At 39.5% G+C, this 16,964-nt stretch overlaps 1 protein-coding gene across 2 annotated transcripts in view; it reads left to right on the top strand.

The window, feature by feature from the left end:
• SUPT16H (SPT16 homolog, facilitates chromatin remodeling subunit) overlaps window positions 1-16,964 on the top strand; it is a 32,544-nt gene that overhangs the window by 2,932 nt on the left and 12,648 nt on the right. The window contains exons 2-10 of one of the 2 annotated variants that reach the window (NM_007192.4): window positions 7,658-7,750; window positions 9,044-9,214; window positions 10,600-10,752; window positions 11,192-11,338; window positions 11,733-11,884; window positions 12,647-12,819; window positions 14,559-14,649; window positions 15,945-16,018; window positions 16,149-16,261. In NM_007192.4, the coding sequence (NP_009123.1) occupies window positions 7,658-7,750; window positions 9,044-9,214; window positions 10,600-10,752; window positions 11,192-11,338; window positions 11,733-11,884; window positions 12,647-12,819; window positions 14,559-14,649; window positions 15,945-16,018; window positions 16,149-16,261 (1,167 nt within the window). Of the gene's footprint in view, window positions 1-7,657; window positions 7,751-8,391; window positions 8,620-9,043; window positions 9,215-10,599; window positions 10,753-11,191; window positions 11,339-11,732; window positions 11,885-12,646; window positions 12,820-14,558; window positions 14,650-15,944; window positions 16,019-16,148; window positions 16,262-16,964 lie in introns of those variants that run through there. The other variant, XM_047430899.1, reaches the window with a different exon arrangement.

Genomic DNA, 16,964 nt, shown 5'->3' with positions numbered 1-16,964 from the left:
ATCCAGTCTTGCCTCTTATGTTTTAAGTGAGAGCTGCTAAGAGCAGAAAGGATTTGCAGCACCTTCTCTGTATTATTAGAATATCGCAGGTGGTAGTGGTGGTTCCTGGAAATGGGCTGCATGTTTCTTTGTCCTCTTATGCCTACTAGATCCTTCTTCAGGGATTGCCAGCCTTTTCATGATTACGATTATTTTTAACCAAGTAATATGATTAGTGCTGGTCATTGGGAGAAACAAAAGAGGTTATCTACCATCCCAGGGTTCCAGCTGCCTTGAGGGCTGAGTGGTACAATATCCAGGCATATCTGTATATCATTTGAGACCTACCTGTTGGGACATTCTGATATGAGTGGACCTTGACTTCATCTGCCTTTTTTCTTGAAGAATTCCATAAAATGTCAAAAATATTTGTTTTCAGAAGGAATACTCACATTCTTGTGAGCATACACCAACTGTCAGGATTGGGGTAGTGGAAGACTGACCCCAAAGAAATTTTATGCCTTTGAAGAAACTAATGAATTAAAGTGTCAGTGCTTCTCTTGAGTGGAGCTTTCTGGCTCTTTGCAGATTTTTATGGTGGCTTAGTTTCTTGTTCTGGGTTGTTCTATTAAGATTCAACAGCTATGTTCTGTGGCTCAGGAAGGATTTTAAAAAATACATAGTAGCTTATGCCTGTATAATCCCAGCTACTCCAGAGGCTGAGGTGGAAGGATTGCTTGAGTCCAGGAGTTCAAGACCAGCCTGGGCAACATAGTGAGAGAGAGCCCATTTCTTTAAAAAAAAAAAAAAAATTCAGTCTTCCATCAGTATCTGTCAGGGATTGCTTCCAGGACATACCTAGATACCTAAATCAAAGGATGCTCAAGTCTCTGATAACAAAATGGCATATTTGCATAGCCTATGTATATCCTCCCATTATTTTTTATTTCTAGATTACTTATAATACCGAATATAGTGTAAGTGCATGTAAATAATAGTTATACTTATTTTTTAGGGGGTAATGACATAGAAAAATGTTTGGCCATTTTAATTTTCAGTACACAGTTGAATCCACAGATAAGGAGAGCCAGCTGTATAGGCATTTCCTGTTATTTCAGTCAGGCAGTGGATTACTTCCACTCACACTCAGCTCTTAATAGCTCCTTTATCTCTGGAGTGGGATAGAGAAAGGTTTTTTTGTTTGTTTGTTTGTTTGTTTGTTTGTTTTTTGAGTTTCACTCTGTGGCTGAGGCTGGATTGCAATGGCACAATCACTGCTCACTGCAGCCTCAACCAAACCAGCCTCAGGTGATCTTCCCACCTCAGCCTCCTGAGTAGCTAGGACCACAGGTGCATGCCACAACACTTGACCAATTTTTATTATTATTATTATTGTTATTTATTTTATTGTATTTTTTGTGGAGACAGGGTTCCACCGTGTTGTCCCAGGCTGGTCTCAAACTCATGGGCTCAAGCGATCCGCCCACCTCGGCATCCCAAAGTGCTGAGATTGCAGGTGTAAGTCACTGCACCTGGCCAAGAAACTTTTTAATAATGCTGAGTAAGGAGGGTTAGATGGAAATAAATGCCCAGATGGATTGAGATTTTTTTTTAAATATTGCTTACTCAGCTTTTATAGTCTAGTTCTCTACTTTTTTTTTTTTTTTCTTTTTTTGAGACAGTCTGACTGTGCCACCCAGGCTGGAATGCAGTGAAGCATTCTCAGCTCACTGCAACCTCTGCCTCCCGGGATCAAGCAATTCTCGTGTCTCAGCCTCCTGAGTAGTTGAGATTACAGGTGTGTGCCACCATGCTCGGCTAATTGTTGTATTTTTCGTAGAGATGGGGTTTCACCATATTGGCCAGGCTGGTCTCTAACTCCTGGCCTCAAGCAATCCACCCACCCCAGCCTCCCAAAGTGCTGGGATTACAGATATGAGCCATCACACCCAGCCCTAGATCTCTACTTTTTATATTTACTTTTTATCCCTATTAACAACTACAGTGCCTGGCATATAGAAGTCACTCAGTGAACAGTGGTAACTGATTATATGGGTATTTAGCTACAACCAGACTGCAAAAATACTTTCTTTTTTTAAGGCAGTATCAGTTTGGTTCAAAGGAAGATAGTTGTTCTGCTGCTGCACTATTTCTCCAACTTTTATCATCCAGATACCACCTTCACAATTTTTGCAGATTCTTTGCCACCTGTTTTATATTTTATTTAACTCTCACTTTCAAAATTATTTTAATCAGTAATAGATATAGTTTTTTAAAAGTCATAGTTCTAATAAAAGCCTTAAAACAAAAAGTCACCTATCCCAGAGGCAACCACTTTGAGTTTTTTGTTTCTTTCATATTTCTAAATAATATCTATATATACTGCTATTTCTTGATTTGTGAATTTTTAACGGTTATTAACTTATGGTAAATCTGAATTTAACTTCTTTGTGTCATCACACTCATTCCAACTTCCCTACCTCCTGATACCTTAACATTTTTCTCCTGACACATTGATATGAAAAATTTTAAAGACAGAAAAGTTGAAAGAATTTTAAGTAAACCCTTTATACCCACCACCCCACACAGTTAACATTTTGTTGTACTTGCTTTATCACACATCCATCCTTCTTCATAACTTTTCCCCACAATTTTTAGTAAAATAAGTAGTTACTATTTACATTGTTTATGTTCATATAGATGTTTTCACTGCTGGGTGAAGTAATAAAGTATGATTAACTTTCCTTTTTTTCTACAGTTTTTTATTTTTCCTGGCATTAATGATTTCCTCAGTTTTTCTCCTTTAAAAAAAGTCTCCCTAGCCTTAATTTTTTCCAATAAATCTATTATAATGTTACCAGTCTTTTATTCTAAATTTCTCACACTCATAGAATTTTCTTCTGTTTCTTAAGAGCAACCTCACTCCCCACTTCCACCCCCCACATTATCCTGTTACCAGTCTTTTATTCTAAATTTCTCACACTCAGAATTTTATTCTGTTGCTTAAAAGCAACCTCACTCCCCACTTCCACCCCCCACATTATCCTGCTCCATCTGTATAGGTTACTCTTTAGGCCTGTTGAACCTCGGGACTTTGCAATATTGGGTCCCCTATATCCAAGAGCCTCTGCTTTGTTTTTTCTTTAGCACATTTTCTCTAAGAACTTCGTAAGAAAAGATGGGCCAGGCGCAGTGGTTCATTCACGCCTGTAATATCAGCATTTTGGGAGGCCGAGGTGGGCAGATCACTTAAGGCCAGGAGCTCAAGACTACCCTGGCCGACATGGCGAAACCCCATCTCTACTAAAAATACAGAAATTAACCAGGCATGGTGCCACATTCCTGTAATGCCAGCTACTTAGGAGGCTGAGGCACGAGAATCGCTTGAACCCAGGAGGCAGAGGCCACAGTGAGCTGAGATCGTGCCATTGCACTCCAACCTGGGCAACAGAGTGAGACTGTGTCTCAAAAAAAGAATAAATAAAAAGCTCACCACTAGCTCCACTGTAACCCCATGCAAAAAAAAAAAAAAGGATGCATAGAATATAAATGTCTTCAGCCCTTGCATGTCTTAAAGTGCTAGTTTGCCCTCACTTTTGGTTAATAATATAGTTAACCAAAGTCAACTCTATTGGCTTTGTTAATGCAGTAGGTATAAAATTCTGTGTTGAAAATCATTTTTTGCTCAGAATTTTGAAGCCATTATTTGGCGTCAAAGACTTCAGTGTTACTTTTGAGAAGGCTGATATGATTCTATTTCCAGTATACATACATAGCCTGTTCTCTCTGAAATTTAGAATCATCCCTTCTGTTTTGAAATTGCACAGCAATGTGCTTTGATATGTCTCTTTTGGGGAAATCCTTTTAGTCTCAAGCTCATATTCTTCAGTCCTAGGATGGTGCATTATTTGATCATTTTGGTCCCTGCATTTCCTTAGTGATGTCTTTTGTTTCTGAAATTCCTATTCAGTAAGGTTTAGACCTCTTTGGTTAAATCTGTTCATTGTTGATCTTTTTTTTTTTTTTTTTTTTCTTTTTCTTTCTTTGAGACAGTCTCACTGTCGCCCAGGCTGGAGTGCAGTGATGCAATCTCGGCTTACTGCAACCTCCCAGGTTCAAGAGATTCTCCTGCCTCAGCCTCCCGAGTAGCTGGGATTACAGGTGCCTACTACCATGCCTGGCTAATCCAGGTCTTCAAATGGCTAGTTATCTTGCTACTGAAATATGTATTCAAGTGCTTTTACTTAGCCAACCATCATAAATTCACTGCACACAGAAGTGCTTTATTTATAACTTCTTATTTCTTTACATAGAATATTAAAAGACAAATGCAAGGGTTTGGGATTTTATAATGGTAATCATTTTTACTTCATCAAGGACTTTTACGTGAAACTGGCCTTTTTTCCTGAGTGTGTAGTAATGGAGAAGTAGTTTGGCGCCACTACCTTGACTCATACAAAGGGACTAGCAGTTTTAAGTGCCATTACTATTTCACTATTGGTGAGAACTAATGGTAAAACTTTTTACCAACCTGAAGGAAAACATTTCTTACTGAAAATCAATGAGAAAAGGCATATAATTTCTATGTAGTGACTTCTTTGCATAATATATTTTGTTGTGGTAGAGAAATACAACAGAACACTCAGTTGCTATCATATATCCTTATTAACAAGCAGAAGCCTTAAAAATGTGGAAGAGTCTTATGTATGCATTTATCTTGACTTTATAGGGGAAGTCAGAATTATAGCTCAGAATGACCAGTGTTTTGGCTTTATAGAGCTATTGAAGAGTATCTGATGGTTGGAGAACTCACACATCTTGATTTCAAAACTTACTACAACGCTGTAGTAATCAAAACATCACGGTACTGGCCTAAGGATAGGCATATAGAAGAGTGGAATAAACGTGAAAATTCAGAAATAAATCCTCACATTTATGGTCATTTAATTTTTGACAGGGATGTCAAGATAATTCAATGAGAAATGAATAGTCTTTTCAACAAATGGTGTTGTAATAACTAGATATTCAATGTAAAAGAATGAAGTTGGGTTAGTCCTCAGACCATACAAAAAAATTAATTGAAAATGAATCATAGACCTAACTGTGACAGCTAAAGCTATGAAACCCTTGTAGAAGAAGTATAAAGTAAATCTGAGTGACCTTGAATTAGGCAGAACCTTCTTAGATATGACACCAAAAGCACAAGAAAATAGATAGGCCAGGCACAGTGGCTCACACCTGTGATCCTAGCATTTTGGGAGGCCAAGGCAGGAGGATCACTTGAGGTCAGGAGTTCAAGACCAGCCTGGCCAACATGGCAAAACCTAGTCTCTGCTAAAAATACAAAAATTAGCCAGGCATGGGGCAGTTGCCTGGAGTCCCAACTACTTGGGATGCTGAAGCACGAGAATTGCTTGAACCCAGGAGACGGAGGTTGCAGTGAGCCGAGATCGTGCCACTGCACTCCAGCCTGGGGGATAGAGTGAGACTCTGTCTCCAAAATAAAAAAGAAAATAGATAAATTGTACCACTTCAAAATTAGAAACTTTGGTGCTTCAAAGGACACTATCAAGAAAGTGAAAATAAAATGCACAGAATGGGAGAAAATGTCTGCAGATCCTGTGTCTAGAATATGAAAACTCTTACAGCTCAATAATAAAGCAACAACTCAGCTACAAAATGGCAGAGGATCTGAACAGGCATTTCTCCAAGAGGCATACAGTTGTCAGTAAACATATGAAATGATGCTCAGCGTCATTAGCTATCAGAGAAATGAAATCAAAACTACAGTGAGGGCCGGGCGTGGTGGCTCATGCCTGTAATCCCAGCACTTCAGGAGGCCAAGTGGGGGCGGATCACTTGAGGTCAGGAGTTCAAGACCAGCCTGGCCAACATGGTGAAACCTCGTCTCTACTAAGAAATATAAAAATTAGCTGGGCGTGGTGGTGCATACCTGAAGTCCCGCTACTTGGGAGGCTGAGGCACAAGAATCGCTTGAACCTAGGAGGCGGAGGTTGCAGTGAGCCAAGTTTGCACCACTGCACTCCAGCCTGGGTGATAGAGCGAGACTCTGTCTCAAAAGAAAAAAAAAAGCAGGATACTAATTTACACTCATTATATGGCTGTCATCAAAACGACATAAAAACTGTTGGTTAACGTGGAAAAATTGGAACCTTGATACATTCTTAGGAATGTGAAATAGTGACTAGTGCAGTCATGGTGACAAACAGTCTGATGATTCCTCGAAAAGTTACCATATGACCCAGCAGTTCATCTCCTAGGTATATGTATACCCAAGAGAAATGTCCATACAAAACATATTCAAATGTTCATGGCAACATTTTTTACAATAGCCAGAAAGTGAAAACCCAAGTGTCCTGCAGCTGATGAATGGATAGATAAAATGTGGTATATCTACACAATGAAATATTCAGCAGTAAAAGGGAATGAAGTGTTGATACGTGTCACAACACAGATGAGCCTTGAAAACAAGTGAAAGAAGCCAGACACAAAGGCCACATTTTATTTGATTCCATGTATATGAATTGTCCAGAATAGACAAATCCATAGAGACAGGTTAGTGGTTTGTCTAGGGCTGAGATGGAGATAGGGGAGTTGGGGAATGATTGTACTCAAGGACATAGAGATTAAAATGTTCCAAAATTGTGATGGTTGCATAATTCTGCTAAAAATCATTACATTGTATGCTTTTGAATTTTATGTGAATTCTGTCTCAATAAAACTTTTTTAAAAAATAAAGAACTCCCGTCTCTCCATCAGCCAGAAAGGACATTGGTATTGAGGTTGACAAAACCTACAAGGACAAAAACTACCATGGCTTCCAGTGCTTTCATGAAACCTCAGATATGTGGCCTTCTGGCCAGGCATCTGTGATTTCATGTTGTTGAAGTGTTCATTTTGCCCTGGGGTTACATCTCTCTATTAAAATTTCTGTGGCTGAACCAAAAAAGAAGGCATATGTAGATTTCTGCATAAATTATGACTCCTTGAAAGATTCTAAGATGAAGGTGGCTTATCTTTGAGAGTGCAAGATGATTTTGGAATATAAAAAATTAGTTTGGCCCAGGCATGGTGGCTTATGCCTGTAATTCCAGCACTTTGGGAGACCGAAGCAGGTGGATCACCTGAAGTTAGGAGTTCGAGACCAGCCTGACCCACATAGTGAAACCCTGTCTCTACTGAAAATAAAAAAATTAGCCAGGTGTGGTGGTGGGCACCTGTAATCCTAGCTACTGGGGAGGCTGAGGCAGGAGAATTGCTTGAACCCAGGAGGCGGAGGTTGCAGTGAGCCGAGATTGCACCATTGCATTCCAGCCTGGGCAACAAGAGTCAAACTCCATCTCAAAAATAAGTAATAAAATTTTAAAAAATAAAATATTTCTTTGAATTACACAGGACGTTTGTCACTGATCTGTGTTCCTGAACTATGAAACATAGATCTGGGGGCTAAGGAAAAATTTCTCTTGATATTTATCAACAATTAGCAAGTACTGTAAAAACAAAAAATAGAATAGCCGTAAGACTGCCAAACAGGCATGTACCTTAAACTTGAAATTTCTATCAGGAGAAAATTATGCCTGTCCTAGATAAATATTGAAGGCTGTATTCCTGTTTTGCTAGTGTGAAAAATTAAGTGATGATTACCCACTCTTTTCAGAAAGGAGAAGATGAGTATGCCAACGTTGATGCCATTGTTGTATCAGTGGGTGTTGATGAAGAAATTGTTTATGCCAAATCAACTGCCTTACAGGTGAGAGATTTACAGCAATTTTTAGCTCTTAGAGTTGTTGGATTATCTACTGCACTGTTCAGTATGGTAGCCACATTAAAACTTAAATTCCTGGCTGGCTGCGGTGGCTCATGCCTGTAATCCCAGCACTTTGGGAGGCCGAGGCAGGTGGATTGCTTGAGCCCAGGAGTTCAAGACCAGCCTGGACAACATGGCAAAACCCTGTCTTTACAAGAAATACAAAAAAATTAAGCAGATGTGGGGGTGTGCACCTGTAGTCCCAGCTACTCAGGAGGCTGAGATGGGAGGATGGCATGACCCCAGGAGGTAGAGGTTGCAGTAAGCCAAGATTGCACCATTGCACTCCAGCCTGGGCAACACAGTGAGACCCTGTCTCTTACTTTAAAAAATTTCAATTTCTCAGTCCCATCAGCTGTGTTTCTGGTACTCAGCAGTGGCTACCCCATATTGGACAGAGCAGATAAATGGTATTTTCACCATCACATAAAGTTCAATTGGATTTAGCAGTGATTTAAGACATAAGGAAAAAGAAGTATTAATATCAGTATGGATTTAGCTGCTATAACACAAAAACCTAAGTAACAGTGAGTTAAACAAAATATTCTTTTCCTTATGTATAGTCTTCAGGGACCCAGGCTTTTTCCAGTTCTCTGTTCTGCCACCCAAAGAACATAGCCCTCTTGCACGTGGTACAGAATGGCTTCTAGAACTCCAGGTGTTTCATCTACATTCCAAGCAAAAAGAGACAGAGAAGAAAACAGGAGGCCACCTTTTCTTTTTAAGAAGACTTGCTTGAAGCTCCACACACTACCATTTTTTACCTATTGGCCAAAATTTGATCCTAATGACCATACTTACCTGAAAGGAAGGTAAAATATCAGTTCTTTGAGAAGGAGAAATGAATAATTGGTAGGGAACTGGTAATTGAGGAGGTAATAACGCAGGGTTCTGTATCACTCTGTCCCTTGTTTTATGCATTTCTGTATCACTAAACATTGATATACTTCCTATAAACACAAATCGTTTAACTGATTTGATGGTTTTAATTATAGAAAGTTCAAGCATATAAACGTAGAGAAAATAATACATTGAACCCCATTGTCCTGTTCTAATAAATTGTCGACTCTTGGCCGATCTTGCTTAATTTGTATCCACTCCAGACTCCCCAGCCTGATTACCTTGGAGTTAATTTCAGACATGTTATTTTTGTCTATAAGTATTTCTGTATATCTATATGAGTCCATTAATTTTTGTATCTGTAAATACCGTTGTCACTGTTGTCTTTTTCCATAGACATGGCTCTTTGGTTATGAACTAACTGATACTATCATGGTCTTTTGTGATGACAAAATCATCTTTATGGCCAGCAAGAAAAAAGTGGAGTTCTTGAAACAGATTGCCAACACTAAGGGCAATGAGAATGCTAATGGAGCCCCTGCCATCACACTGCTAATACGAGAAAAGGTCAGGATTAATAAAGAATGTGTCATAAATGTGGAAGAATCTTCAAAAGGGATGAACAGAAATGCCTTATAGGAGTTTGAAAGAATGCGCAGGGGAAATTATAGGTGGCTGTGGTTGTAATTACAAAGTTCTGTCACGTCTTCATTGTTAGGAGGAAAAGAATTCAATAATCCTATCAGTTCTGCTGTAAAACAAATGAGCTATGAAATTCTGGTGAACACTGATTTTATGTCTCCATTCTTGAGGACACTGTTAGTTTGTTTTCATCTGTATGCCTTGATTAGAGCAAATAACCTTAAATATCCTTAAGGAAACTTAGATATACATCATTTCCAGTTTTTATCAAATGTGAATTTTTTTTGTCATACTGCCCACCTAACATGGGATGTTTTCTCAGAATATTGTTCACTTATGTGTTTGAGTTTCTTAACTGTTTCTGAAGAAAAAGGATAGTTGTATCAGACGTGGTGGCACACACCCGTAGTCCCAGCTGCTCAGGAGGCTGAGATGGGAGGATTGCTTGAGCCCAGGTGTTTGAGACCAGCCTGGGCAACGTGAGACCCCTTCTCTTAAAAAAAGGAATAGTCTGGTCAACTTACGGCAGCACTTTCACCTGAGTATATAAAAATATCTAAAGAAATGTTTTGCTCACTTTTGATATATTACAATCTTCCTTAAAGATGGGAAGGCATCTTACAGGTAGGCCAGGCATGGTGGCTCATGGCTGTAATCCCAATACTTTGAGAGGCCGAGGCGAGCACTTGAGCGCAGGAGTTCCAGATGAGCCTGGGCAACATGACAAAACCCCATCTCTACAAAAAATACAAAAATTATTCAGGAAGGCTGGGTGCAGTGGATCACTTGAGGTCTGGAGTTCAAGACCATCCTGGGCAAGATAACAAAACCCCATCTCTACTAAAAATATAAAAAATTAGCCGGGCATGTTGTCACACACCTGTAATCCCAGCTGCTCGGGAGGCTGAGGCATGAGAATCACTTGAACCCGGGAGGCTGAGGTTGCAGTGAGTGTAGATTGCGCCGCTGCACTCCAGCCTGGCAACAGAGCAAGTCTGTCTCAAAAAAAAAAAAAAATTTATCCAGGCATGGTGGTATGAACCTGTAGTCCCAGCTACTTGGGAGGCCGAGGCAGGAGGATTGCTTGAACTTGGGAGTTCGAGGTTGCAGTAAGCTGTGATCACACCACTGTGCTCTACCCTGGGGGTAGTAGAACAAGACCCTGTCTCTTTAAAAGTAAAAAGTAGGTGGGGATGGGAGGAGAATTAATTTTTTCCGTAGTTTAGAATATTATTCTACCTGTTACTGGTAAAACGTGTCTAATGAACTGGTAAAACATATGTGTCTTTTCTTCCCTATGACACTGACAGAATGAAAGTAATAAGAGTAGCTTTGACAAAATGATTGAAGCCATTAAAGAAAGCAAGAATGGCAAGAAGATTGGAGTGTTCAGCAAAGACAAATTCCCTGGAGAGTTCATGAAGAGCTGGAATGACTGCCTCAACAAAGAAGGCTTTGACAAAGTAAGAATACTACTGGAAATAGCAAATCAAGAGTTGAGAAGACAGAAATGTGATGGGCTTCCATAACAGATAGTGCAGGACGTTTGTTTTGGGAAAACTGTATGTTTGTTTACATTTTATCCCCTTTGGCTGAGCAGTGTGCCAGTTTTATTTTTTTTCCCTGCCTTTCTTCTATCTGCCTTTACAAAAAACGTCTAGAGGGCAGTTTACATTTTAAGTGGTACATTAGCTTAACACCTCTTGTAGTACACACAATGACCTGGCAAAGAGCTATTTCAAATGTTTATTCAGTTCAAGAAGAGAATGTTTGAATATTCTGCAAACCAGTGATAGTTTGCTAAATAACAGAAATATCACTGGTAATATTCAAATTGGAGAGATGCATTTATTTTGTAATTCTGTACTTGCATGTTAGAAACTCTTGTCACTTTGACTGCAGATAGATATCAGTGCAGTTGTGGCATATACCATCGCTGTAAAGGAGGATGGGGAGCTCAACCTAATGAAGAAAGCAGCCAGCATCACTTCTGAAGTCTTCAACAAATTCTTCAAGGAAAGAGTCATGGAAATAGTTGATGCAGATGAGGTAAATGGAGATGAGAGGGTCTTTTTACTGTTTTAATGAAGCAGTAATAAGTCTACCATGCAAATCTGTTGGTGTGTTCTTCAGCTTCCTTTGAAATTAAGACTGACACTTAAGTTGGTGGTAATTACATCATCTCCCTTTCAAAATAATGGTAAGCCTGCGTTATGTTTTCTTGAGGTAACCCATTATTTTACTTGAGAATCATAGGAATAGCTGTAAGTCCTACATATTGTTCTCCAAATGTGTTTTGCCTGCATACCAATATATTACCTGGCGCATAAATCATTTCCTAAGACTTATACAAGGATACATTTTGTCTTCAAATCATAGTGTCCACACACCCCGCTTTGCTACCCTCTAGTAAGTGTTACTTTATTTCTGGATGCTCTTACAGAAAGTTCGACACAGCAAACTGGCTGAGTCTGTGGAAAAGGCCATTGAAGAGAAAAAATACCTTGCTGGGGCAGACCCTTCTACTGTGGAAATGTGTTACCCTCCTATCATTCAGAGTGGTGGCAACTATAATCTCAAGTTCAGTGTGGTGAGGTAAGTATATGAAGACTTCATAATATAGCATTTTGACTTTAGCCTATTTTTTCTTTTTGTTAAATCTGTACAAATTTGTGGGGTACACTGAAATTTGGCTACAAGTATATAATGTATAGTGTTACCAAGTCATTATCTTGGGTGTCCATCACCCAGGTGCAATACATTTTTGTTAAGTATAGTCACCCTACTCTGCTGTCAAACATTGAATTTATTCCTTCTATCTTACTTTATGTTTGTACCTTTTAACCCACTTCTTTTCATCCTCGCCTGCCCCCCTACACACTTACCCTTACCAGTCTCTGTTATCTATTTTTTCCCTATCTCCATGTAATCCAATTTTTTAGTTCCCACATATAAGTGAGAACATTCAGTATTTGTCCTTTTATGTCTGGCTCATTTAACTTAAGACTAATTACAACTCACAATTCATAGAGGACTAATGGATAAGTGACTCCTCACAACCCCACAATTAGACTATAATGGATACAATTCAGGATATCATTTGCATTTTTGTAATCCAGTACTCACTTACTCACTGAATTTTTATCCTAAAAGTTTTGGTCACTGACTTTTACTCCAGAGCCTTTATAAACTGGTTAGTTTATTTAAAACAAAACACAAAAAAGTTTAGGTCCTTATTCAGCCACAGCTTTGGGATATGGCAGGGAAAAGTAATGATTATTGATACCGTGTCCCATTGATACCAAGGACTTTGCTAGTTTTGGTAATGAAATGTTTTCTTTCTTTGTTGGTCTCTAGTGACAAGAATCATATGCACTTTGGGGCTATCACTTGTGCCATGGGTATTCGCTTCAAGTCTTACTGCTCCAACCTTGTTCGCACTTTGATGGTTGATCCTTCTCAAGAAGTTCAAGAAAATTATAACTTTTTGCTCCAGCTTCAAGAGGAGCTGCTGAAGGAATTAAGACATGGTGAGGTGCCTTAGAAAAGGAGGTTTGAAAGTTGTGTAACAAAAATGTCATTGGCCGGGAGCTGTGGGTCACACCTGTAATCCCTACACTGGGAGGCCGAGGCAGGAGGATCACTTGAATCCAGGAGTTCAAGACCAGCCTGGGCAATGAGGCCCCCATATCTCTACAAGAAATTAAAAATGAAACAATTAGTTGGGCATAGTGGTGCACGCCTGTGGTCCCAGCTACTCAGACTGAAGTTGAGGAGGATCACTTGAGCCTGAATGGTCAAGGCTGCAGTGAGTTGCGATTATACCTCGGCAGTGAGCTATGATTGCGCCACTGCACTCCAGCCTGGGCAATAGAGTTGAGACCTTCTCTCAAAAAAGAAATGTCATTAGTGTTATGTTTATGTCTCTGAGGCTCTCATATTAAAAACAGAATAAGATTTACAAATGTTGAATCATCCTAGCATCTAGGTCTTGAATCTGCATTTCTTTCAAGCATGAGTGATCATTGTGGTTTACATTGATGTTTATAGAAACCTCTCTGACTTGTTAGGCCCTCTGTGTCCAGATCATCACAAAATACCTTGGCCTTATTACTATTCCTTAGTTATAGAAAGTTCTGAGAACTAGTATCTCTACCTACAGGATATATACTGTTAATCCTACATCAAAACGATACGAAGGATACTGAGCTTCCAGACACCATTCTTCCACATTATCTCTAAGTCGGTCTTAAGAAGTCCTATTGGAAATCATAGCCATAGATAGTTTAATGAAGATAAAGATCCCTCTGAGGCCACCATATCTAGACTACTTTTTAGCTTGACATACCCATTCATAGTCTAGATCCTGAAAAATTAAGGCCACAGCCCTCATAACAATAATTCACCCATTTAGTGATAAATGGAACAGGCCCACCACAAGGATCTGTTTTTGAAAATGTATAATAACTTTAATGTGATACCATTTATCAACTCTTAAAGTATTTTATTAAGACCACTGTCCTCCTAGATCAGTGATTCTCAAATAGTATGATTAAGAATGGGATCGGGGCCGGGTATGGTGGCTCAAGCCTGTGATCCCGGCACTCTGGGAGGCCAAGGTAGGCGGATCATGAGGTCAGGACCATCCTGGCTAACACGGCGAAACCCCATCTACTAAAAATACAAAAAAATTAGCCGGGCGTGGTGGCAGGCACCTGTAGTCTCAGCTACTCGGGAAGCTGACGCAGGAGAAAGGCGTGAATCCGGGAGGTGGAGCTTGCAGTGAAGTAGGATCACGCCACTGCACTCCAGCCTGGGCAACAGAGTGAGACTCCATCCAAAAAAAAAAGAATGGGGCCAGGTGGAGTGATTTACACCTATAATTCCTGCACTTTGGGAAGCCAAGGTGGGAGGATTGCTTGAGTCCAGTTTGAGACCAGCCTGGGCAACATGGCAGACCATGTCTCTACAAAAAATAAAAAATTAGCTGGGCATAGTGGTGTGTGCCTATAGTCCCAGTTACTTGGGAGGCTGAGGTGGGAGGATCATTGAGTCTGGGAGGTCAGGGCTGCAGTGATCCGTAATCATGCTACTGCACTCCAGCCTGAGTGACAGAGTGAGACCTTGTCTCAAAAAAAAAAAGTGAGTGGACTGTTTAGTTCACACTTTGAGAAACACTGCTTTAGGGGACATAAATTTTGATTTTAAAATGTTACTGAGTTTTTTTCCTAAAAGATACTTTAATATCTCCTTTGTGTCTTGTTATTAGGTGTGAAGATATGTGACGTGTATAACGCTGTCATGGACGTGGTTAAAAAGCAGAAGCCAGAACTGCTGAACAAAATTACCAAAAACCTAGGGTATGCCATGATGTCTATTGTCATTCTTGAGTCAGTTTTCAGTTAGACTGTCAGTGGTCAGTCTTATTTCTTTAGGCTAATTGATTGATTCAGCCAACATTTATGGACTAGCAAACTATACTATGTGCCAGGCACATGATGTTATCAGAGAAGGTGAGACAGATTTAAGTTCTCCCAAGTGTATAAGAGAGATTTTTCTAGACCAGTGTGGTGTTCCAGCCCATAGGTTTTCCAGGATATAATTACAGATGTTAGGAAATATTATCAATACATACTATATCTCCTCTCTCCGTGCACATTTGCAACTTAAGTACTCTGAGATGTCCTAATATTTTATTTAGAGACAGGGTCTCACTCTGTCCAGGCTGGAGTGCAGTGGTGCAGTCGTGCCTCACTGCAGTCTAGACCTTCTGGGCTCCAGCAATCCTCCCATCTCAGCTCCCCCAATAACTGGGACCAAGGCACGTGCCACCACACCCAGCTCATTTTTTTATTTTTTGTAGAAACAGGGTCTCGCTATGTTGCCCAGGCTGGTCTTGACCTCGTGGGCTCAAGCAGTCCTCCCACCTTGATCTCCCAAAGTGCTGGGATTACAGATGTGAGCCACTGTGCCTGGCCGTTTGTTTGTTTTGGGGGTTTTTTTTTGTTTTGGTTTTGGTTTTGGTTTTGGTTTTGGTTTGTTTATTCAATCCAGTGTATTTCTCAAATGTATTTTATACATTTCTCAAATGTATTTTATCACTGAACACCTAGAAATACCTAATAACGTGTAATGGAACAAAGGACATTTTGGGAAACAAAGCTTTATGTAGGCATTCTCTTTAGATGAAAACTAGTCTATGGTATATAGTTTCTAGACTTCTCTCATGGAAATATATACCTATATAACAAGTCTTACGAATCTGGTTTACCAGTGTTCCACTAAAAATTGCCCCTTTTAATCTAGTAATTACTGTCTTAGTAATGTACCCCTTAATAATCTCTATGTTGTTTCTAGGAGTACTACTGACTTGATTTTATGGTAGAAGGTTAAAGTTTAAATGTGGGCAAATAAGCTAAAATTAAAAAGGCTCGATATAATCAATTAGGAAATTATTTTTCGCCATGGGATTATACAGCATGTTTAGAGGCCAAAGACTGTCTTTGAATCCTCTTTTCTAACTGAGCGGTCAGCAGGGGTAAATCATTTCAAACATGTTTGCCTGTCTTATTGTGAAAGTTGAAATGAATATGTTATGCTTGATCCATGTTAGAGATCTTTAGCCTTTTGCTGATGTTTATCTGTTTCTTTTCAGGTTTGGGATGGGAATTGAATTCCGTGAAGGCTCCCTAGTAATCAATAGCAAAAATCAATACAAACTGAAGAAAGGTAAGTTTCACATACAATAGGAAAATGCTTTTGTGAGTTACTTCCTTTAGCTTTATTTTCTTTTAGGCATATGTCTCACACCTCTCCACATTGTCACAGCCACAGACTGATCCTTGTTTTGCTGTTTTAGGAATGGTTTTCAGCATCAATTTAGGATTCTCAGACCTGACTAACAAGGAGGGGAAAAAGCCAGAAGAGAAAACCTATGCCCTGTTCATTGGTGACACAGTGCTTGTGGATGAGGTGTGTATTGTGTCTAAACTTTGGAGTCTTCATGAACTAACTTCTGAGGCACGTTTGTGGACCCTGTGGTTTTTTTCTTGCTTTGTTAAATGCTAGCTAAGGGGAAGAATCCGTGTGACAGCCTAACCTAATGCAGCTAGGAATAGAGACTGTAGCCCAGGTATAGGGAATGATATAAACCTTTAAATCATATTGTCATATTGTGGCTTGAACCTTGATAATGATAATATCAGGAACTAATACTAATAATGAAACCGGTTATTCTTTTTTCTTTTTAATAACAGCTTTATTGAGCTACAATTCACATACTATACAATTCACCCACCTGATATGTACAATTTAGTGATTTTTAGTATTTTCACATTTGTGTAACCATCACTACAATCTAATTTGAAAATATTTTCATCACCTCAGGAAAGAACCCTGAACCTATTAGCAGTCACTCCCCATCCCCCTTCCCTTCCCCCACTGGTTCTTCAGGCCTAGGCAATGACTAAACTGCGTTCTCTCTAAGGATTTGCTAAATATCTGAGCAGTTGATGTAAATTCAGTCATACCCTATGTGGTCTTTTGTGACTGGCTTCTTTCCCTCAGCGAACTGATTTTTAATAATAGTGAGCACAGATAGTTCAGTGTTTTTATCATAAGCTAAGCAGTTTACATTAATTCATTGAAATAGTACCTTGTGAAGTAGATACTCTTA

This window comes from Homo sapiens, chromosome 14, assembly GCF_000001405.40.
Source record: "Homo sapiens chromosome 14, GRCh38.p14 Primary Assembly".
Classification (NCBI taxonomy): domain Eukaryota; kingdom Metazoa; phylum Chordata; class Mammalia; order Primates; family Hominidae; genus Homo; species Homo sapiens.
Note: the sequence above shows the minus strand (reverse complement) of the source record. Positions and strands in the feature narration are given on the sequence as shown.